Source organism: Homo sapiens, chromosome 1, assembly GCF_000001405.40.
Source record: "Homo sapiens chromosome 1, GRCh38.p14 Primary Assembly".
Classification (NCBI taxonomy): domain Eukaryota; kingdom Metazoa; phylum Chordata; class Mammalia; order Primates; family Hominidae; genus Homo; species Homo sapiens.
Genome location: NC_000001.11, coordinates 245,965,998 through 245,989,692, shown reverse-complemented (window position 1 = coordinate 245,989,692; position 23,695 = coordinate 245,965,998). Strand labels below are relative to the sequence as shown.

The 23,695-nt window shown below is 44.5% G+C and overlaps 1 protein-coding gene across 18 annotated transcripts in view; it reads left to right on the top strand.

The window, feature by feature from the left end:
• SMYD3 (SET and MYND domain containing 3) overlaps positions 1-23,695 on the top strand; it is a 757,933-nt gene that overhangs the window by 517,587 nt on the left and 216,651 nt on the right. For 2 of the 18 annotated variants that reach the window (NM_001375965.1, NM_001375966.1), the window contains exon 1: positions 1,142-1,299. The exons of 15 other annotated variants lie outside the window; for them this stretch is intronic. The gene's annotated coding sequence lies outside the window, so the exon portion shown is untranslated. Of the gene's footprint in view, positions 1-1,141; positions 1,300-5,137; positions 5,225-23,695 lie in introns of those variants that run through there. One more of the 18 variants, XM_024449141.2, reaches the window with a different exon arrangement.

Genomic DNA, 23,695 nt, shown 5'->3' with positions numbered 1-23,695 from the left:
AGCAGTGCAAGATGGAGAATGTTTTTCTCTCTAATCCCTTCAAGGTACAAGGTAGGACACCTAGAAGGTTAAGGCAGAAGCCTTCGTTGTGTTTGCTTCTCCTTTGTATCCAGTTAACCACTCATGTGGCATTGAATGAATGAGTGGTTGTTTCTTGCAAGCCTGCTGCAGGCCCAGCCTCATCTTAGGCATTGGACATGTGCAGCAAGCTGGATTTGTGCTACTTTGCTGCACAGTTGGCCTGTTAACAAGTAATGCCTAGGGAAGGGGGTGTTGTCTTCAAAGTGCACACAGCCTAAACATAGGTGAAGATAGGAGTGAGAAAAGTACACAATGAAATTAAGGATAAGAGAGGAAATGGTCAAGTACTGGGGGAGTGCACAGGAAGATGGATTAACTGACTCCTCTTCAAAGATCTTGCAGCAGTGGACCCATTTCAGTTGGGTCCTAAAAGGTGAGCAGGATTTCTTAAGAAGAGAAAGGGGGACAGGATGTTCCAGGCTGCAGAAACCAGTCGTCAGAAGTGTTATAAATGTGAAGACAGGTATTAATTGGATAAAGTCTAAGAAGTCATGGAATCATGAAGTTAGAAATGATCTAAGTGGTTACATCTCACCACTCCCAGCCAGGGGATTCTGGATAAGTTACAATGTGTTCAGCCTTGGCCATAGAAAAACAACCTCAAGGCTTAAATAATATGATACGGGGAATTTATTGGTTCACAGATCTCAAAAATATGGAGATAGCCCAGGCTTCAGACATAGTTTGATAAAGGCTCTTGGTAGCAGAATGGCTGCTGAGCGTCAGCTCTCAGGCTGATGTGTCATACATTCTGGAAGAGGAGATACTCCCTTTCCTCCTACTGACAAAAAAAGCCTTTGAGTTCACTCTGATTGGCCCAATTTTGGACACATGCTCAGCCTCCTCCCAAACCGTTCTCTGCCAGAGGAACACCATCTGCTGATTGGCCTGGGCTCTGGTCCCTGCCTATGGCTGTGGCAAGGGGGCCAGGTGTGGGCTGATTGGATTAGGCCAGTCAGAGCCCATTGCTAAAATCTGGGCTTGAAGCCAATAGGACGTGGCCATGTCAGTGGGTGGGACAATGGTGGGAATAAGGGGAAGGGTGCTGCAGAGGCGGCCCACGCTGTCCACATGCAGAGGCTCGCTACAGAAGCTACAGAAGAAGATGGTTACATTTCAAGTGGGCAGGTGCCGTTTGCTTATGAGCACCATCAGCCACATCAGCCACGGTTCTTTGAATTTTACCTAATTGTCTCTAATTCTTAACAATTCTTTGAGGTAAGTGTTCTCCAATAATTTCCAGTTGAGCAAACTGAGACTCAGAGAAAATAACTTGACCAGAGCTACACACCTGAGAATGGCTGAATCAGAACTGGAAATGGCAGCCTCTGTTTCCAGAGACTGGGTTGTCTCCATTATATCGTGGCGCTTGAGCAGGCAGCTACAGCTCCATTTGGGAAGCTCTGTTGGTTAGGACTGGGCAGGGGAGGCTTGTGTAGCCCTGTGGTTAGGACTGGTTTGTGGGTGGCGGTGTGTGTGTGTGTGTGTGTGTGTGTGTGTGTGTTTGGTTTGGTTTGTCTGTTTAATAACGTAAAGCCAAACCTGCCTCCTAGTGATTCCTCTGCGTTTATTCTAGTTCTGAGGTATGGAGCGGTGATTCTCAAACCCAGCAGAGCATTATAAAAATACAGTTTTCTGGCCTCCATGCCAGATCAGCTGAAGCAGAGTCTGTGAGTGGGACCGTAGAAACTGGATTTTCTTTTTTCTTTTTAAGTTTCAGAGATGATTCTCCAGTACAAACAGGTTTGGAGGACTCCTGCTTTAGAATACAACGAAGCTGTTCTGTCTTCCATGTTACAAACCCTCAGATGTTTAAGACTGGGGTCACCCATGAGCCTTTGCTTCAGGCTCCAGTGTGGTGCTTAAGTGCCGGGACTTTGGAATCAGAAAGACTGAGTTCAGATTCCGTCTCCACTGTTGATAAGTCGTGTGCCTTGGGTAAATCTCTTAATATTGCTAAGTCTTAGTTTTCATATTTATAAAGTGGGAATAATCAATTTAAATTAAAAATCGTTGTGAGGAATAAGTTAAGAAAACGTGAAGTTCTTAGCGTGAAGCTGGAAGAACATGGAAAAGTTTCAGTGGATATCACCTGTTACTAATGATTGTTAAACCTCCCTGGCTCTGGCTTCTTTAGTTCGTTTCAATTGTTTTTTTTCTAGATCTTTTTTACCTCTAATTTTTGGTGTTTGCTAATTTATCTCAAAACAGTAATGGTGTGTAGTGGGTAGAGGCTGGCATAAAATTCTAGACACCTGACTACATCAGTCAACAGCAGAGCTATAGCTTCCTGTGGTCTGAGTGTGACATTTCTCTGGGTGCAGATATCCTCTGGGTATTAAACGTCTTGGAATTTCCCATCCTTGTTTAAGTCCTTTTCTCCTGGGAAATTGATCAGTGGCTGATTATGGGAACATCTGGATTCTTCAAGAATTTTTGGACGTTCTGCAACTTGGTTTCAAGCCTAAGCTGTGTTTGGAGGCATGAATATGAGTTGGTTTCATCATAAAAGTGTGTTGATTCCAAGACTGCTGTGATCCGTTTTATCTCGCATGGATCTGTCAGCGTTTTCCTATTCATCCGCAAGTGGTGACTCATTTAAAAGGAGGTATGCTCTCCAGCAGAGAGCCAAGTTGTTCCACAACATGTACATTGACATTTACATAAAATGCAAATATGTTCATCAAGTTTTACTTATATTTGTCTCTGGATTTTCAAATACATGTTTATTTGCTGTATCCACCTATACCAGTTTTCTTTAAAAATACTTGTAAGGCACGATTTTAACTACTTGAAGCTTGATGAAGGTTGTACACAGCCTGTTTCAATGCACTTAGCATATTCTCTTTGACGATGACCCGTTCTTGCCAGCCTTGCATGTGGGCGTGGGTGGGTCACCTTTAGGCTGGAACAACCGAGAGTGGAGACATGGAGACTTCCTGTTCTTTGATAACGTACAGGGAGGGCTTTTCAGGGCAGTAAAACCGTCACTGAAGACCATGAAAATGCCCAAATGCTACATGTTCCAGTCAGCTAGTTCAGGCATTTATTACTGGCCTTAAAATGTTATGTAATTTTGTTTATGGCATCATAATAGTATAAAAGCAGCTGGGCTCACTAGGGGGCTGTGTGAGTAATCTATAAAACTTGGACCAGCTACAGGAATAACAGCACAGTTGCATACAGCAAAAATGTATTTGGGAGTAGCTGTCTTTTACTGAAATGGTAGAGAACAAACTGAGGTACAGAAAATGTAAAACTCTCAAGTATCTGCTTCCCTCAGCTCCCTTCATTCTTCTAATGACTAGAAAGGAAACACTGTTGTAATGAGAAAACTTCTCCAGAAAATCTTCCAACAGGTTCCTAACATCCCCAAACTGAATTTCAGTGGGTCCTCTCTCAGTTCCTTGAAGAAATGAAGTAAACAAGAGATGAAACATGTTAAAGTTGAGATGAAATAAATGTGATGTTAGTTATCTAAAATTCTGTAGGAGGAGAATTAAACGCTAAAAACGATCCTAAAATGTTTGGTAGACTCGCTTACTCTACTGCCAGGGGAGTGTGTTTCCTTGTTCAGAATCACTGATGTATGTTGTATAAAAGTACTTTTTAGTAGGGCTCCTATTTTGAGCCAGGTATTATCAGCACTAGGAATTCAAGGATTTACCTTTGAATGGCGCAGTGTTAGGCTTGGAAACAGGTAATTGCTGTAATGGAGGCAGGTTTCAAGTGGAATGAGAGCCAGAAAGGAGTCCAAAGTCAAGAACATTTGGGAAGGTTTTGGAAAGAACATGTTGGTGCAGGGATTTTAATAATTTTCCAAGCAGAGGGAATAAAATATATAGAAGTTTTCCATTGTAAGAGAGCATGCCACATTCAAAGATATCATTAACTAGTTTTTGGTGTTATTGGAGCTTAAAATATGAGAAGGAGGTGACTAGAAATGCAGTTAAGAAAGGGAAGAACCAAGTATTATGATGTTGACCGAAGTTGGAGCAACAGTCTTGGAGACGGGAATAAGGGAGCAGATTTGAGACAGTTAAGAGGTGGATTGGACCCACCTCTGAACTGTGATTGTGCTTGAGACGTAAGGACATGTTTTTCCTTAAGGACATAAAGGTGGTTTGCATGAGTGAGCAGTTGGAGGAGCCATTTTGTTAGGTAAAAAATAAAGGAAGGGGAACAGGAACAAGGTAGAAATTAATGGGTTCACTTTTAAGTATTGATAACTTTGAGATGCCTATTGGACAAATATAATTGTCTAATTGATGATCATTCTATGTAGTTGAAGTTTAGAAGAGAAGTCTAGATTTGAGAGCCATTAGGATATAGATTATAGGTGAAAGACAGGCATGGATGAGAACTCTCAGGCAAAATGTATGGCATCAGAAGACGAGAGCCAAGGACAGGTCCCAAGGGATCCCCAGCACTTATAGGGATGGTGAAAAGCAGATATTCCAGGACGGGAGACCAAAAGGGAGGCAGTGAAGGAGGTGGTAGGAGATCCAGGATAGGGAGAGGTTATAAAATCCAAGGGAGGAGGGAATGCTGTGTGGTCAGGTGAGCGATGGTAGGTAAGGCAGAGAGTCAAACAGGGACTTAAGAAGTATCCATTGGCCTGGAAACTGTTAAGTTCATGTGGGGTCGTGAGATGTGCACATTCAGCAGAGTTGAGAGGGCAAATAGATTACAGAGCAAGGAGAAGTCGGATGGAAGTGGTGTATGGAGAACATTCTCTTAAGAACCTACATGTGTACAGAAGGAAAGAGAAATACACTACATTCCCAGGGAGGTCAGGGAGACTTTTGTTTATGTTTTAAGATGACAAATTTGAACATGTTTATATGCTTAGGGAAAGAAGCAATATGAAAGGAGAGACTCAAAAATGTAGGATGAGAGGATAATCAGTGTAGCAGGTCTTAGATTAGTTGTTCTCAGAGTCTGCTCTGGGATCATAAAACATCACCTGGAAATTGTTAGCAAAGTAAATTACCAGTCCTTACTTCAGATTACTCAATTAGAAACTCTGGGTTTGGAGCTCAGCAGCCTGTGTTTCAATGAGCCTTCTGGGTGATTCTCACGCACACTCAAGCTGGAGAGCTCCTGTCCTAGATGAAGAGGAACAGTGGGATCCAGGGCCCAGGTGAGTGCACATGCCCTTGCACAGGAGGGGAGGTGCTTCTGCGGGCGCAGGCACAAATAGATTTGTGCTGCATGGTTGTGAAGTTGATGGGCTTTGTTCCTGATGACATACTTTTTCTTTTTGAACTAGGAAGCAGTTTTGTCCATTGAATCCTGAGATGAGAGTAGGGTTGGGCTGGGTCAGTAGCTTATGCCTGTAATCCCAGCACATGGGCAGGCCAAGGCGGGACGGATCACCTGAGGTCAGGAGTTTGAAACCAGCCTGGGTGACATGGTGAAACCCTGTTTCTAAAAATGCAAAAATTACCCGGGCGTGGTGGCAGGCGCCTGTAATCCCAGCTACTTGGGTGGCTGAGGCAGGAGAATCGCTTGAACCCAGAAGGCAGAGGTTGCAGTGAGCCGAGACCGCGCCATTGCACTCCAGCCTGGGCAACAAGAGCGAAACTCCATTTAAAAAAAAAAAAAAAAAAAGAGTAGACTTGATTGAGTTTACTCAAATGAAATACACATTTAAGGTTTTGGAAATGTTGCATTCTAATTGACCTATAATATGATTAGTTTTAAGCTGAAGCATACCTTTATTCTCTCCCTCATTACACTCTTCCTCCTGGCCCTTTCTCAGCAGGAGCTGACTGTTCTTCTTGCTACTGATTCCTTGAAACCGAAACGATTCCATCATAGCCTGTGTTGGGAGACTCAGTCTTGAGGTGTTCAGGGGCTTTTTGTTTGTGGTTTCAATGGGGCTTTTAAATCTTTGTCTTAATCTTTGGATACTTTCAGGAGATGGCTGAGATCACATCATTTAGAGCCAGAATAAAGGAGAATGTTTGAGCAAGGATTCATCAAACCAATATGAGAAATTTACAGATGTTAGATTTTATTAACACTCCCACACAGGAGGTTTGAAATGAACAACAGCAAAACAGGACGTAGATTTTTAAGAAGAAAAGTCAAACAATTTAAAAATCTGCCATGGGCATCTGGTCGTGGGTCCCAGGGGGCCACGTGCTGGACTTTTGATCTCATCAAATGCGTTTCTTAGCTGGTCATGAAAGCTGGTTGTCGTTTCATTTCATGATTTCAATATGGTGAAGAATTTGGATAAAGAAGCAGCATTTTGATGTGTTTAGTTTTTAGGGGAAATAATGAATTTGCTGTAACTAGTCATTAATTTTCTTTTTCTATTTTCTTTCCTTTTGATGAAAATGCATTTATATTAATTCTAATATGGGAACACAACCCCCATGGGGTGAAAGAGTCTGAAAAGTTATAACTGAAAACAATGTCCCGAAAGCTGCCACAAAATAAGGCCAGGGAGATGAGGCATCTTGTCTCTGTGAAGACCTTCAGTATGAGGTCTTCTCAGCTGGTAGCATGGGGGGAAAGATCACGTTGGAAGTCATCTACCATCATGCAGAGCCCCAGCTCCTTGCTATGGAAGGGTAGATTGGACTTTTTAGATCTAAGAACCTTTTTTCCACTCAGTACCTTGAGCATTTGCGTTGATAAATGTTTGGTTTCTGACAGCAGTCTTGGATTCAACTGTATAAGGGAACCTTTGAATTTGAACCGCTTTGCAAGTGTTTCTTGTTTCGTGTAAAGAATGCTTGGCCACATCTCCAAAGGTGTGGCTACGAAAGAAATAAGGAAATCCTACCTCTAAATGGAATATAACAGTCCTCAAAGCGAACCCAGTGAGTCAATTCTTGTCTGAGTTTTTGCTTATTCTATGGAGTAAATAGATTTTGTTAATATTGTAAACACAGTTTAGTGGAATATGCAATGTTTCCGTAGTTCCTTGATTTTATTATTGGGAATATGAATTAAATACAAATTAAGTGGGTTTAGAAGGGGATTAGTAAAAAACAAAACAAAACCTGAATTAGAAAATGTTACTTTAAGATTTATTTGATGGAAGTATTTAGCCTATAAGTGAGCCTTTACTATTATATTAGATCAACTCTCAGACTGACATTTTGATTGTTTCACATTTGATCAGAAATTGAGACTATAGGATGCTACTTCTATTTAAATATAAATGTGGGACAGATGTAGTGACTGACATCTGTAATCCCAGCACTTTGGGAAGCCCAGGTAGGACACTTGTTTGAACCCAGGAGTTTGAGACCAGCCTGGGCAACATAGTGAGACTTCATCTCTACAAAAAACTATTAGCCAGCTGCAGTGGCTCATGCTGGTCCCAGTTACTCCAGAGGCTGAGACCAGAGGATCACTTAAGCCCAGAAGGTGGAGGCTGCAATGAGCTGTGATCATGCTACCGCACTCCAGCCTGGGTGACAGAACAAGATCCTGTCTCAAAAACTCGAAATGTGATTCTATTACAGCTGTGCTATTAAAACTCCCACCTCTTTAAAGATGGAATTGAGCATTACCCAAAAACTTTAAAGGGAGAATGTCTCTGGGCTATGTAAAGAGCTACAGTTCCACAAACCCTCCTAAAAGAAGACCCCACGTGCTCAAGGTCCCCATGACCGTGGGTCTGCACCCAGAGCCAGGCTGGAGGGAGGGCTGGGAGACTCGCCTGCCCAAGCCTGGTTTGAAGACCTGATGCATGGAAGCAACAGTTCTTTGAGAGGACAAAATAGAAAAAGAGAAATAGTATGGAATTCTTTCTTTCTGCAACAAGTTCTATGTAATCGTTTCCCAAGTTAAAGGACCCCTTCTTACTTAACTCTAACCATAAACAACTTTATTGGAGCCAGAACTTACACATGCTTTCAGTATTAACATTAAAGGATCATTCTCAGAAAGTCTGGCTTTTCTGTTTCCTTCTTTGCTTTTGTTATGGCAGGATAGATTGGACTTTTTCTTTTAGATCTAAAAATCTTTTTTTCACTTGGTACCTTGAGCATTTGTATTTATAAATGTTTGGTTTCTGACAGCTGTTTTGGGTTCAGTTGTATAAGGGAACCTTTAAATTTAAACCGCTTTGCAAGTGTTTATTCCTTTAAAACATTTCTAATGTAAATGTATATACATAGAAGGATTCTGAAAGGTTCTTCTTAGTCAGGTTTAATCTGTCCTGACAGCTCAATGCTATTGAATTCTTAAAATGAAGATGTCCTGGTTGTCTGTGCAGCCCAGGGCTCCCAGAGGGCTCTCAGGTAGCTAGTTAACCAAGGGACACCCAGCAGTGGCAGATCCTCATCCTCTCAAAAAGGGCAGAGCTTCGGGACACTGGTCTAGCCCAGCAGGCATCCCCTTAGCACTGTGTGCTGTTGGCACTACCTGTCCTAAAACCTCAATATTTATTTGGCCTCATGTTTATTCTTTGCAGACTTATTGAGCACCTACTATAAATCAGGTAGGTCATCGTCTAGATAGGTCTGACCCAGATAAACAAGGTTTCTGTCCTCTTCAAGCTTAATTTTAAGTGTAATCACAGTGGGATACTCCAAGTTAGGGATCAACAGACCTCTCTCTAAAGGGTCAGATAGTGAATGATTTAGGCTTTCTGGGCTATACCGTCTTTCTTAGAACTGCTTTACTCTGCCTTGTAGCTCAAAAGCAGCCATAAGCAATACATAACTGGAAAGGCAGGGACGAGTACCAACAAAACTTGATTTACAAAAACAGTGGCCGAGGTACCATGGGCTGTAGTTTGTTGACTGCTAGTCTAGACAATGCCAATCCACTGAGACAGAATCCATATCATACAGTCTGGAGTAGGGATTTGTTTCCCAGACTGCAAAGCAGCTTTCCAGTCAACGTCGGCAGCCATAGAGAATAAGTGCATTTCTCAGCATTTGCTGCCTGTTGCAGAGTTACTGACAGCTGCATTTGTCATGTTCTTGAATTATTTTTTCCACCTTGGTTTAATAGGTTTCCCAAAAAGCCTCAGTGAGGAAGCATCACCCTAATTTGTTCTACATGTCATGTGTGTGATAAGCAGAAAGGAAACAGACAAACTCAGACCTTGAAACTGGAATGAAGCATTTAATTCCTGCTCCCATGCTAGCTTGGCAGAGTTGAGCAATACATCTACAGACGTCCTTCCAACACAATGACTTCGTTGCCCTCTGTGTGGCCTCTTACCTGGTGCTGGGCTCTAGGGTTGATGTAGGACTTGGGTCCTGCCCTCAGGGATCTCACATCACAGGAGTGGAGTCGATGAAGTACATTCCTGCCTTCATTCCCGAGGCATGTCTGACTACCTGCCACACATGTGCAAGGAGAGCAAAAGTGACCAAGGCCTGGACCCCGTCCTAGGTGAGTTCACAGTAAAGCAAATGAAAAATCATGCACAGTAAGGTAAAATCCAGTGCTGCAGCCTGTGATAGAGATCATGCCGCTTGGGTTGCTGAGTTCTCCCCCTCGTTGTAATTCAGCAGGCTTCCCAGTGTGCCCTGCATCCTCATCTGTGAGGCCGACTTCACTATCATTCCCACTTATAGGTGGAGGAGACTGAGGCACAGAGCTCCCAAAGCCCCACAGCTGGCGAGTGGCAGGGCTAGCGTGCGATGTCCACTAGACTGGTGTCTGACGCAGAAGCTGCGCTTCTCACCCCTGGGATCTGGAAGATAATTCTGATGTGTGAGATCCAGGAGAATGCATTGTTTAGCCAGAAAATGTTTTGTAACTGCATTTTTGTTTTTGACAGAAATGTGACTGCCCACTGAATAGTGAGCATTGGAATTAGAGACCATCTAGCTGCCGGGGCTGGGTTTGGTCATCTTGCGTTTTTTAAGTCTGAATTGGGATGCTGTATTCGATTCTTAAAACGGCCATGGTGACATACCACAAACAGGGTAGCTTAAAACAACAAAATTTTTTTCACAATTCTGAGGGTAAAGGTCTGAAATCAGGGCGTGTGGGCAGGGTGAGCTCCTTCTGAGGCAGACTGTTCCGTTTCTTTCCCGTAGCTCCTGGTGGCAGCAGGCTGTCCTTGGTGTTCCCTGCTTGTACCTGCATCACCCCAGTCTCTGCCCCCGTCTTCATGTGGAACTCTCCTTGTGTCTGTCTTCTCATGGCCACCTTCTTACTGGGATGCCAGTCATGTTGAATTTCGGGCCTACTTACTCTCTAGTGTGATCTTTTCCTAACTCATTCTATCTACAGTGACTTTATTTCCAAATAAGGTCACATTTTAGGGTACTGGGGGTTAAGACTTCAACATAATCTTATTGGAGGGAACATAATTCACCCCATAACAGACACCTTTAGACAGGATGGAACTTCCTTATTCACCCCTAGCCCATCCCAGTTGTTTTTACCCTGGAAAAGATTCCCAAATCTCTGTTGCCATTGCCCTCCTTGGGCATTTGAGTTGACTCCTTCTTTCTTCAAGCTATTTCTGTGTGATGACAGAGAGAGGGTTTAAATGACTCATCTCCTATCTAGGTTTCTTTCATTAAGATGCCGAGACTCTTCTTTTCACTAAATATTATTTCCACCCACTCATGGAGCAGAGAGCCACGTTCCATAAAAGGGCTCTCTGATATACGGTAGTAGTCACATGCTTTTAGCAATGCATACCTGCCAAGAATGGACAGATACCTCAGATTAGGCTGTACTGTCCTGAATTTTTGGTCTCTTTCCCAGGTGTTTCCCAGGAAAGAAATTCATTATCAATAAGGTGGAAAGGACTTCTCAGTATTGAGCCCCATAATTTGCCTTCGTAGTGTTGGAGGGAACAAGGGGAAATGGGAGCAGAAATGAGAAATGGGAGAGGAGTTTGGGAAGTAAGGCGGAAAGGCCAGCACAGGTAGCATTGCTGACGAGAGACAAAGCTTGGATGAGGCCACTCTGCCTTTCACCACCAAGGCCTGTAATAGACTGGCCAGGCTCCGAAACGCTGGACTCAACGTTTAACTGCCTGCTCTGGAGGATTTAGGACAAACAGGGAAAAACCTTTTGAAATAGTTCTCTCTGCCCCCCGCCCTCCCGCACTTATTTTTTTTCTAATAAAGATGATTTCTACCCACTCGTGAAGTAGAAAGACGCAGTCTATAAAACAGCTCTTTAATTCTGGAAACTTACCTCTGGATTCAGATCAGCTCTATAAATGACTGGAATGGTGACTGTTGTACTTATTTTTTGTGGGAACTCTTAGTTGAATTTTACTTCATTGCAATTGTGGTTAATTTCTACTGAGTTTTAAATGCCTGCACACACTAGGAAAAGTTTTTTGAGCGCCTACTGTTGGGTATCATGAGAGGCACGAAGATGGATAAATCATGATTCTTGCCCTAGATGAACTTATCAATTAGTAAGGGACAGAAGATGCCTCCCAGCATAAATAGTAGAACTAGGAATGGGTAAGAGCACCTAGAGAGGAACCAAATGTCTCTGGATGTTCCGACTTGGAAGCGTTTACTTCACGATTCCTTCTGCCCATGTTCACTCAGCTCCTACAAAGAGCCAGGCGTGCTGGTGTATAGTGATGATAAACGACAGCTGACAGGAGCCAGGATGCTGGGGTGAGACTGGGCTTGCACCTGGCTCTGTGGCCTGATGGAGGGAGGGGCTTAGCCTCCATATGCTTCACATCTTCTTTATCTGTAAAATGGGAATAATATTAATATCTCCCTCACAGATATGCTGTGTATACATAGACACAACACAGAGAAAGTAAGAAAGACTGCTTGCCAGCCGAGTGCACTATAAAAGTAGTATGTTCCCTGCATGGGGCCAACCTTCAGAGGTGTTAATAACAGGGCAGGAAGGAAACAAAAAGAGGAATTATTATAAATGGTGGTAAGTGGAGGGCAAATAAGATTCTCATGCAAGGGAGAATCTTTTAAGTTTTGGGGTTTTTTGTTTTTTGTTTTCTGAGACAGTCTCACTCCGTCACCCAGGCTGGAATGCAGTGGCACGATCTCGGCTCACTGCAACCTCCACCTCCTGGGTTCATGTAATTCTCCTGCCTCAGCCTCCAGAGTAGCTGGGATTACAGGCATGCACCACCACACCTGGCTAATTTTTGTATTTCTAGTAGAGACGAGGTTTCACCATGTTGCCCAGGCTGGTCTCAAGCTCGTGGCCTCAAGTGATCTGCCTGCCTCAGCCTCCCAAAGTGCTGGGATTACAGGTGTGAGCCACCGTGCGTGGCCCCTCCTTTCGGTTTTGTGATTAAGGATGGACTTCCTCCAATGGTGGCATTTAAAGCCATGCCATGAGGGAGCAAGGCTAGAAGAGTGGGGATGGCTGTTGTGTGGTAGAGGCTGGATCAAGCGGAGCCGTGTTAGGCCATTTGAAGAAGTTTCAATTTTCTTCTGAAGTAGCAGAAAACCATTGAAATGTTTGAAATGTGGGTGTGACTGAATCCTTCATGTTTGTAAAAAGATGATTCTAATTCTGTCTAGAGAAGTATATAGAGAATGGATTCAAGGGGTCAAGCATGAGATGAGGTTAAGAGTGTCACAATAACATAGGCTAGAGACGATGGCTTTCCCTGGGCCGGAGACGATGGCTTTCCCTGGGCTAGAGACGATGGCTTTCCCTGGGCTAGAGACGATGGCTTTCCCTGGGCCGGAGACGATGGCTTTCCCTAGGCTAGAGACGATGGCTTTCCCTAGGCTAGAGACGATGGCTTTCCCTAGGCTAGAGACGATGGCTTTCCCTGGGCCGGAGACGATGGCTTTCCCTAGGCTAGAGACGATGGCTTTCCCTAGGCTAGAGACGATGGCTTTCCCTAGGCTAGAGACGATGGCTTTCCCTGGGCTAGAGACGATGGCTTTCCCTAGGCCGGAGACGATGGCTTTCCCTGGGCTGGAGACGATGGCTTTCCCTGGGCTAGAGACGATGGCTTTCCCTGGGCCGGAGACGATGGCTTTCCCTGGGCTGGAGACGATGGCTTTCCCTGGGCTAGAGACGATGGCTTTCCCTGGGCCGGAGACGATGGCTTTCCCTGGGCTGGAGACGATGGCTTTCCCTGGGCCGGAGACGATGGCTTTCCCTAGGCTAGAGACGATGGCTTTCCCTGGGCTAGAGACGATGGCTTTCCCTGGGCCGGAGACGATGGCTTTCCCTGGGCCGGAGACGATGGCTTTCCCTGGGCCGGAGACGATGGCTTTCCCTAGGCTAGAGACGATGGCTTTCCCTGGGCTAGAGACGATGGCTTTCCCTGGGCTAGAGACGATGGCTTTCCCTGGGCTAGAGACGATGGCTTTCCCTGGGCTAGAGACGATGGCTTTCCCTGGGCTAGAGACGATGGCTTTCCCTGGGCTAGAGACGATGGCTTTCCCTGGGCCGGAGACGATGGCTTTCCCTGGGCTAGAGACGATGGCTTTCCCTGGGCCGGAGACGATGGCTTTCCCTGGGCCGGAGACGATGGCTTTCCCTGGGCCGGAGACGATGGCTTTCCCTGGGCCGGAGACGATGGCTTTCCCTGGGCTAGAGACGATGGCTTTCCCTGGGCCGGAGACGATGGCTTTCCCTAGGCTAGAGACGATGGCTTTCCCTAGGCTAGAGACGATGGCTTTCCCTAGGCTAGAGACGATGGCTTTCCCTAGGCCGGAGACGATGGCTTTCCCTGGGCCGGAGACGATGGCTTTCCCTAGGCTACAGACGATGGCTTTCCCTAGGCTAGAGATGATGGCTTTCCCTGGGCCGGAGACGATGGCTTTCCCTGGGCCGGAGACGATGGCTTTCCCTGGGCCGGAGACGATGGCTTTCCCTGGGCCGGAGACGATGGCTTTCCCTAGGCTACAGACGATGGCTTTCCCTAGGCTAGAGACGATGGCTTTCCCTGGGCCGGAGACGATGGCTTTCCCTGGGCCGGAGACGATGGCTTTCCCTGGGCCGGAGACGATGGCTTTCCCTGGGCCGGAGACGATGGCTTTCCCTGGGCCGGAGACGATGGCTTTCCCTAGGCCGGAGACGATGGCTTTCCCTGGGCCGGAGACGATGGCTTTCCCTAGGCTACAGACGATGGCTTTCCCTAGGCTAGAGACGATGGCTTTCCCTGGGCCGGAGACGATGGCTTTCCCTGGGCCGGAGACGATGGCTTTCCCTGGGCCGGAGACGATGGCTTTCCCTAGGCTAGAGACGATGGCTTTCCCTAGGCCAGAGACGATGGCTTTCCCTGGGCCGGAGACGATGGCTTTCCCTAGGCCGGAGACGATGGCTTTCCCTGGGCCGGAGACGATGGCTTTCCCTGGGCCGGAGACGATGGCTTTCCCTGGGCCGGAGACGATGGCTTTCCCTGGGCCGGAGACGATGGCTTTCCCTGGGCCGGAGACGATGGCTTTCCCTGGGCCGGAGACGATGGCTTTCCCTGGGCCGGAGACGATGGCTTTCCCTGGGCCGGAGACGATGGCTTTCCCTAGGCCGGAGACGATGGCTTTCCCTGGGCCGGAGACGATGGCTTTCCCTAGGCTACAGACGATGGCTTTCCCTAGGCTAGAGACGATGGCTTTCCCTGGGCCGGAGACGATGGCTTTCCCTGGGCCGGAGACGATGGCTTTCCCTGGGCCGGAGACGATGGCTTTCCCTAGGCTAGAGACGATGGCTTTCCCTAGGCCAGAGACGATGGCTTTCCCTGGGCCGGAGACGATGGCTTTCCCTAGGCCGGAGACGATGGCTTTCCCTGGGCCGGAGACGATGGCTTTCCCTGGGCCGGAGACGATGGCTTTCCCTGGGCCGGAGACGATGGCTTTCCCTGGGCCGGAGACGATGGCTTTCCCTGGGCCGGAGACGATGGCTTTCCCTGGGCCGGAGACGATGGCTTTCCCTGGGCCGGAGACGATGGCTTTCCCTGGGCCGGAGACGATGGCTTTCCCTGGGCCGGAGACGATGGCTTTCCCTGGGCCGGAGACGATGGCTTTCCCTGGGCCGGAGACGATGGCTTTCCCTGGGCCGGAGACGATGGCTTTCCCTGGGCCGGAGACGATGGCTTTCCCTGGGCCGGAGACGATGGCTTTCCCTGGGCCGGAGACGATGGCTTTCCCTGGGCCGGAGACGATGGCTTTCCCTGGGCCGGAGACGATGGCTTTCCCTGGGCCGGAGACGATGGCTTTCCCTGGGCCGGAGACGATGGCTTTAGGAGGTTGGCATAGGAGATGTAGGAGATGGGAAAAATGAAATAGATTCAAGATACATTCTGGGGTCAGAATTGTCATGACTCTGATAGACTGGATGACATGGATTGGGGAGAAATGGGGGAAGGTTTTATAATACTGCTCATGTATTAGAGAAAAATAAATACTGTCATCTCTCAGATGGGAATGAATCTTCCCATCTAAGGAGTAGGTTTGGGGGCAGAACTTAGTCATATTAAATTTGAAAAATGTCATTTAAAGAGAGATTTTTTCTCATTGAAAAATCATCTTCCAGTACACAAGTGTCAGAGTGAGGATACTCACAGTGGGAGTGGCTTTGAGAGAGGTGGGAAGAGGAAAGGAGGGTGCCTGAACAGATAGTGGCATCTGTTAGCAAGTCAGGGTCTGGAGGAAGGGCAGCCTGATTTAGTTTGTGACTTGATTGAAACTGTTTAGACCTATAAGCATAGGTATTAATGATGATGATTTTGTTAAAATGCAAAAGTCTATTTTACAAAATGACTCTCATATGAGAAAATACTCTGAAATTGAATTTAACATCCAGGAAGTCCTATCATATTTAAAATTTATTTTTCTGGACATTTACGTTTCCGAATGACTTGGTGAGAAATAGGTCTGTGAGTGACTCACTGAACCCCCCAAAAAAGTACTCATATAGGTAGATTTCCTCGTGCCGATCAAAAGACGTTATTAAGGGAAGTGTTCTTTAGCCATGGCTAACTGGGACATTTGTTCTTGAGTTGGGATGGTCTGATGCTCCTTGGACAGTGTCTGGTTACAAGAGCAACTGATGGGTGCACTAGAACTCTTTTCGCTGAGAAAATAAAGCAAGATTCTTTGGTATGTTTGCTCTCTCGTGCAGCCTCACAACATGGGTAGGTTTTGTTCCTCTCCTTTTTCCCTTGTCACATGTACACAATAAGCTACTTATTTTCATTTGATTTTTTTTGTGATAAAACTCCTGTGAAAGTTGAGGGTGAGGCTATTATCTGTACCTCCATTTAGCAAATACCTGGTACCTCGTTGGTTTCACAAATATTTGGTGAATAGTTTAATAAACATTTGCAGATTGGGTGAACACCCTGTGTATAACATGGACACCCCGATTATATGCCTTCCTAAATTTCCTTCTTGTGCTGTGTCTATAAGCTTTCCTGCTATAACCTCAAAAACATAATACCTAACAAAAGCAACAATGATGATGGCTGTTTTAGCTAAGTGTTTGTCCTTCAATAGGGCATGTGCTTTAAGCTATTTCTTCTAGAGTTGAAAGTTTTGATTTTGTTTTCCTCCAGAGCCATCTTCATTTCATTAACTTTCCTTTCTGTAGCTAAGGGCAGCAGTTTGTGTCTGTGGCCGTGGAACCTTCAATGTGTGTAAGAAGGGAACTGCTTTGCATGGTAGGTGTGGCAGTAGTGGTAACAGCAGCAGCAATGACATCATTTATTTATTGAGTACCCAATTTGTGCCAGGCATTATAATAGGTGGGAAAAACACTGTTGGCAAAGGTAAGGCCAGGTTCTCGTAACAAAGGGACATAATGATAATTGAGTAGCTTCAAAGGAGATAGACATTTATTTCTTTTTCACTGATTGTGTAATGTATGTACCAGGTGGGTGGGTGACTCCACTCCATGCTGTTATTCAGGGCCCGGATTCTTTCCATGGTGTTGCTCCACCGCCCCTCAGGCCTTCACAAGAAGTGGAAAAAGGAGCCCAGCAGGGCCAGCCCACAGTCTCAAGGCTTAGCTCCAGAAGCAGTTCCCAACTCTTTCACTTCCACTCAGTTGGAGCGAACTTAGTCACGTAGCTGTGCCTGATTCCAGGGGTTGGGGGAGGAACTGGGAAACGTAGTTCAGGCCTGTGCCCTGGGAGCAAGGGAGAACAGATGTTGGTGAACACCTAGCAATATTCACCACATCCTGCAATGTGCAGATTATTCTGTACACTTTCCAGATGATGAATTAGAAATTTGAGAGGTTAATTAACTCAACTTGCCCTAGATGATGAGGTTGTAAGGGGGAGGTGCAGATTCTAATTCTGTTATATCTGATTTAAAAATCTGTGCTCTTTTCACCACCGTGATACCATTGAACACTGTGTTGTTGTCATAGAGCCATGTGGAGTTTACAGAGGAAATTCACATATGTTAACTTGCTTATGGCTTCAGGAGCAGGTCTCCCACCACCAGACTTACCTAGCCAGCTAAGGTGTCTCAGGACTTGGTATCCGAATGAAAATAGAGTGCAATTCTAATCTATCAAAAACTGGTTTTCTTGCCTGCTTTTAGGAGACAGGAGTAAGAATAATGAAAACAGTCTTGTACCAGGGACTTACATCCTAGGGCATGGTCTGTTGTCAGAATACATTCAGATCAGTGCCCCCTTCCCACTTGGTTCAGTTATAGTGAGGCATCAGTGGTGCCCGAGACATGGCAAGATCAGCAGTGACTATAGGTGACTAGACTCTGTACAGCGTAGTGTTTGCTTCAGACTCTGCAAAGCTGGGCTTTGGAGTTTGAATCTTTTACTCACTGACCAGGTATGTAGCTGTGGACAAGTTTCTTAATCTTCCTAAATCTGAGATTCCTCAACTGTAAGGCAGGATTTGTTAGCCTCCTTCACAGAGTTGTTTTAAGTGTTAGTGATCATGTAAGCAAAGGGCCTCCCACAAAGCAGCATCTGGTTAAATGACAGCTGCTATTTTTAAAAAAATAAACCCACCAACCATGAATTGAGTGACTGCTATGTACCAGGCACCAAGGTAGGCTCCAGAGATTTAGAGATAAAAGGTAGAGTCCCTGCGGCCTTCAAGGGACATCCCCGTTAGTGGGGATGTTTCAGAGAGAACAACCTAAGCTCAGGTTTTCCCTCAGGAAGAAGAATGCGTTCTAACCAGACGAGAGCGTGTGCGTTCTCTTAATAGATTGTATAAACTGAAATTGTGCAATAGCCAGTTTGGGTGCAATGAGCTACTCAAATGACACATTGATTTTTTTTTTTAATTATACTTTAAGTTCTGGGATATGTGTGCAGAACAGTGCAGCTTTGTTACATAGGTATACACGTGCCATGGTGGTTTGCTGCACCCATCAACCCGTCATCTACATTAGGTATTTCTTCTAATGCTATCTCTCCCCTAGCCCCACCTCCAGACAGGCCTTGGTGTGTGATGTTCCACTCCCTGTGTCCACGTGTTCTCATTGTGCAACTCCCACTTAAGAGTGAGAACATGTGGTGTTTGGTTTTCTTTTCCTATGTTAGTTTACTGAGAATGATGGTTTCCAGCTTCATCCATGTCCCTGCAAAGGACACGAACTTATCCTTTTTTATGGCTGCATAGTATTCTGTGGTGTATATGTGCCACATTTTCTGTATCTAGTCTATCACTAATGGACATTTAGATTGGTTGCAAGTCTTTGCTATTGTGAATAGTGCCGCAATAAACATATGTGTGCATGTGTCTTTATAGTAGAATGATTTATAAGCCTTTGGGTATATACCCAGTAATGGGATCACTGGGTCAAATGGTAATTCTAGTTCTAGATCCTTGAGGAATCACCACACTGTCTTCCACAATGGTTGAACTAATTTACACTCCCACCAGTAGTGTAAAAGTGTTCCTATTTTTCCACATCCTCTCCAGCACCTGTTGTTTCCCTACTTTTTAATGATCACCATTCTAACTGGTGTGAGATGGTATCTCACTGTGGTTTTGATTTGCTTTTCTCTGACCAGTGATGATGAGCTTTTTTCATAATTTTTGGCCACATAAGTGTCTTCTTTTGAGAAGTGTCTGTTCATATCCTTCACTCACTTTCTGATGGGGTTGTTTTTTTTCTTGTAAATTTAAGTTCCTTGTAGATTCTGGATATTAGCCCTTTGTCATATGGATAGATGGCAAAATTTTTCTCCCATTCTGTAGGTTGCCTGTTTCCTCTGATACTTTTCTTTTGCTGTGCAGAAGCTCTTTAGTTTAATTAGATCCCATTTGTCAATTTTGGCTTTTGTTGCCATTGCTTTTGGTGTTTTAGACATGAAGTCCTTGCCCATGCCTATGTCCTGAATGGTATTGCCTAGGTTTTCTTCTAGGGTTTTTATGGTTTTAGGCCTAACATTGAAGTCTTTAATCCATCTTGAATTAATTTTTGTATAAGGTGTAAGGAAGGGATCCAGTTTCCCCTTTCTACATGTGGCTAGCCAGTTTTCCAACACCATTTATTAAATAGGGAATTCTTTCCCCATTGCTTGTTTTTGTCAGGTTTGTCAAAGATCAGATGGTTGTAGATGTGTGGTATTATTCCTGAGGCCTCTGTTCTGTTCCATTCGTCTATACGTCTGTTTTGGTACCAGTACCATGCTGTTTTGGCTGCTGTAGCCTTGTAGTACAGTTTGAAGTCAGGTAGCATGATGCCTCCAGCTTTGTTCTTTTTGCTTAGGATTGTCTTAGCTATATGGGCTCTTTTTGGGCTCCATATGAAATTTAAGTAGTTCTTTCTATTTCTCTGAAGAAAGTCAACATTGACATTTTTATATGTTGTTTTAATAGTCTTTATGATAAATGTCAACAAAAATAATACTTTTTAGAGACACTTGGTTTTTATACACACTTAGAGAGGTAATAAAATCTGCCACTAATGCTAATAGCATTCTGATGGAGTGAAGACTTAGTGGTATGTCAAAAAGTAAGGCACCTTTCTCTTTTCCTAATGTAGTTTGAATTTCAAAACAACACGAAGGAATGCTGTTGGTATTTATTCAGGGATTTGTGTGCAGATTTGATAGCTACCATTTATCTTCAGCAGAGGAATCCGTGTTCCTGGCCTTTCCCCCCTTGGTTAGTTTGGATTTCCTCAAACCACTTTGCCCTTTGAAGGATTGTGTGCTGTTAAGTAAATGAACGGGTATGTTTCTGAGTTTGTGCTGACTGATTTACAACAGGATGGCAAATTCAGCACTGAAAACAGGGTCAGACAAATACCCTGGCTATGAGACTCAGCTGACTCAGACAAGCGAGGCTTTGCTTAGTGGTTTTTACCCCTCCAGTAGAGAAAAGTCTTGGCTAAGGCCTCAAAGGCCTGTGGACTGGAAGGTCTGGCAGAACAGTGTCCATGTCATTATTGTTAGTAGAAGTTGTGCAGTTGTATTGTTGCTGATGGTCTCACTAACACTAGCTATCTTTTATGTTCTAGCCACTGAAGAGTCATTAATTATTGTGGTTCATTCTCACAGCAAACCCGTGTTGATTTTCATTGATCCCAGGCTCTCAATTTAAATAAGAAAGCTAGCAAAGTTATTTTCTTTTGCCTCCCCTTCTGGCTTAACAAAGAGAACTCAGAAGTACTTACGTTTTGAGAAAATAGAGACCCATTTAAATAGTGTTACCAGAGTGACACATTATTAACTAAGAAAATCAGAATTACATACTTTTTAGAGGTTGCCTCCACAGGACACAGTGGTAATCTCTGAAGCCTGGAGGTCTCATAGCCCTATGATGCAGAATATTATCAATGATAGGAAGAGAAAGCATTGCCTCCTTAACAGTGTACGGAGGCATCTTCCACCAGCACTGGGAACTAAGCCTCCACTGATGAACGGCACAGGAGAAAGACACAGACCTGAGAAGGCTGAAATTTACAACGCGGGAAAGACGAGGGCAGCACAGAATTATTAAATGGAATATGGGAAACGCGTGGTTTGTGTCTACAGTCCACACTTGCAACACAGGTACCATTGTGTCCATTGTATAGAGGAGAAAACTCAGTTCCAGAAGACTTGAGTAACTTGCCCCGAGTCACAAGATTCAAAGATGCCAGACCAGGGAGCTAAATCCATGAATATCTGGCTTTAAAGTCCTTGCCTTTTCTTTACCTCACAGTGGTTTACATGAGGTGCATTGTTACTCGTACACTGAATTTCCTTCACTACCTGCCTTTTTCAATATAAGGTGAATTCTGCATCATTTTGTTGAAATGGAAAGTTCTAACCATTATTGTTTTAATATAGGAGGCACTTGGGCCTTGAAGGAGAGTTGTCATTCCAGTAGTCTGGTAAAGGGCATTTCAGATGGAAGACACAGCCTAGGCAAAGGCACTGAGGTGAGAACGCTGCAGCTTAGTCAGGGAATGGAGAATAGATTCATTTGAGGAGAACTGAGTGTCTCAGTAGATGGGGGTTATATCATGAGAAGGACGTGAGAGCCTCAGCATGGAGCTGGTGAGCAGAGGGGGGCCATTTTTGAGGGGGGGATTAAAGTGCTCAGATCTGTGGTCTAACGCTGTTCTGACAGCAGTGTGTAGATTGAAACAGAGTAGAGATAAATTGAGGGGGAAGTAGCATTATCTATATAAACTGTCAGCGAGTAGAGAAATCTGGATTTTCATGTATTTCGTTCAGGGAACAGTAACTTTCCCATAGGTATTTCCCAGGGTTGTGAATAAATATTGTAGTGTACTGGTCAAGGATGCAAAGTTTGGGGAAGTTAGGAACATCCTTAAGCCACAAAGTGGATGCTCAAAAGTTAAATATTCACTGGAAGTGACAAGTAAGCAATGGAAATATGAAAATAATAGTTCACGCCACTCTCCTGCCTGTTGCCTTAAATTATTCCACTGAAAGCTGCTTTCTGCTATTTTATTTGGGTAAATTAGTCGCAAATGGAATTATCTGCATTTAATGCTCTGCCGTTATCCCTCTGTTTAGGTTTTTGTCTCTGTTCCTTTAATAAGAAGCAATTCTTGGGTTATGTCTGCCCTCTGGTCTGAGGGCTCCAGGAAGCATCCCAGTCATGAACCTTCCAGTTGAACTAAGTCTGTTCCAGATGCTTCATTGACTCAACACATTTCACACTAGGTAGACACCGGAAGTAATCACAGGCCAGCCTTTCTTGCCTCTCAGGCTGAAACAAGTTCACAGTGCAACAGCTTTTCAGAGACAACTCCACACTTCCACAAATGCCCCTATGCATTTGACTTTTCTTGGATGGCTTGTTCACAATCACTCAGCAGTTACTGATCATAGGTTTGTGCCTGGCATTGTCTGAGTTGATAGGAAGGTCTACATGTGAAAATTTAGGATTTTGAATTTAGGATATTGAACTTCTTTTCAACTTATCTGGTAAGTTGCCCATAACTTTAAAGACAAATAGAAAATACTTTTTTGAAACATTCAGTCAAATTTGAAATGACCATGTTCCTGCCAGACAGTGAAATATATTATAAAGCCAGATTAATAAAGATAATATGGTATTACAATACCATGTAAGAATAAGAATTGTGATGGAATAGAGAGATTTCTACCTCTTTCTTCTCTCAGAAATCATCCATCACCATAGAATGGCAAGGAGAATGAGGAATGGAAAAACAAATTCTACTTTTGATGGAATCAAAAGTCATTATAACACATTGATCAATAATGAAGACAAAAAGCAGTTGGAGTTCTGATGACTGAATTAACAGTGGGGAGCTAGGTGGGATCTGAGTGCCTACAGTGGTGGATATCGATGAGAAGCAAGCATATTTCCTGCTCAGAAAGGCTCAGAAATTAATGAAGTGAGGTCCTGAGGGGGGATAGGTTCATATGGGGACCTTAAAAGAAAAGGAGTATTTGAAAGACTGCATCAGATCCTCCCCTGTACTCCCTACAGCCTTGAATGTGCCTGCTCATCTTCAGAGTGACGGTTTCTGGAGAGGGGCCCTGAGCACCAGGCACAGCAGAGGTTGGGGGTAGAAAGGAAATAAGGACTCGAGATGATCTGAAAGCCTGTCTTCCCAAGGGCCAGATCTTGAGCACTCTGGTTGATATTCTCCATGAATTAAGTAATGTTTTTAAAAATCAGCCTGTAGAAAAGATTAGAAGGAAATAGTCCATGATTTTAGTCATGATTGGAGAACTTTTGTTGATTTATTTTTCTTTTTGCCTTTGTTTTTCACATTTAATTTAATGTGTGCATACCATGTTATGCTAGAAAATAGCAAAATTGGGTCTGGCATCGTGATGTGCGCCTGTAATCCCGGCCCTTTGTGAGGCCAAGGTGGGAGGAGTTCTTGAGGCCAGGAGTTCAAGACCAGCCTGGGAAACATAATGAGACCTCATCTCTACGAAGAAACTGAAACATTAGCCAGGCATAGTGGCAGGCGTCTGTAGTTCTAGTGGGGAGGCTGAGGTAGGAGAATTGCTTGAGCCTAGGAATTCGAGGTTACAGTTGGCTGTGATGGCACCACTGTACTTCAGGCTGGGCAACAGAGTGAGACCCTGTCTCTAAAAGAAAGAGAGAGAGAGAAGGAGAGAAGGAAAATAGCAAAATAATGCGGAAAAATAATTATGATGAAGAAGAAAGAAGGTAAATGTTTATCAAGGCTTAGTTGTGTAAAAATCCTTTAAAAAATTAATAAACTTTTTATTTGAGAACCGTTTTATGTTCACAGCAGAATTGAGCATAGAGGTTTCCCAT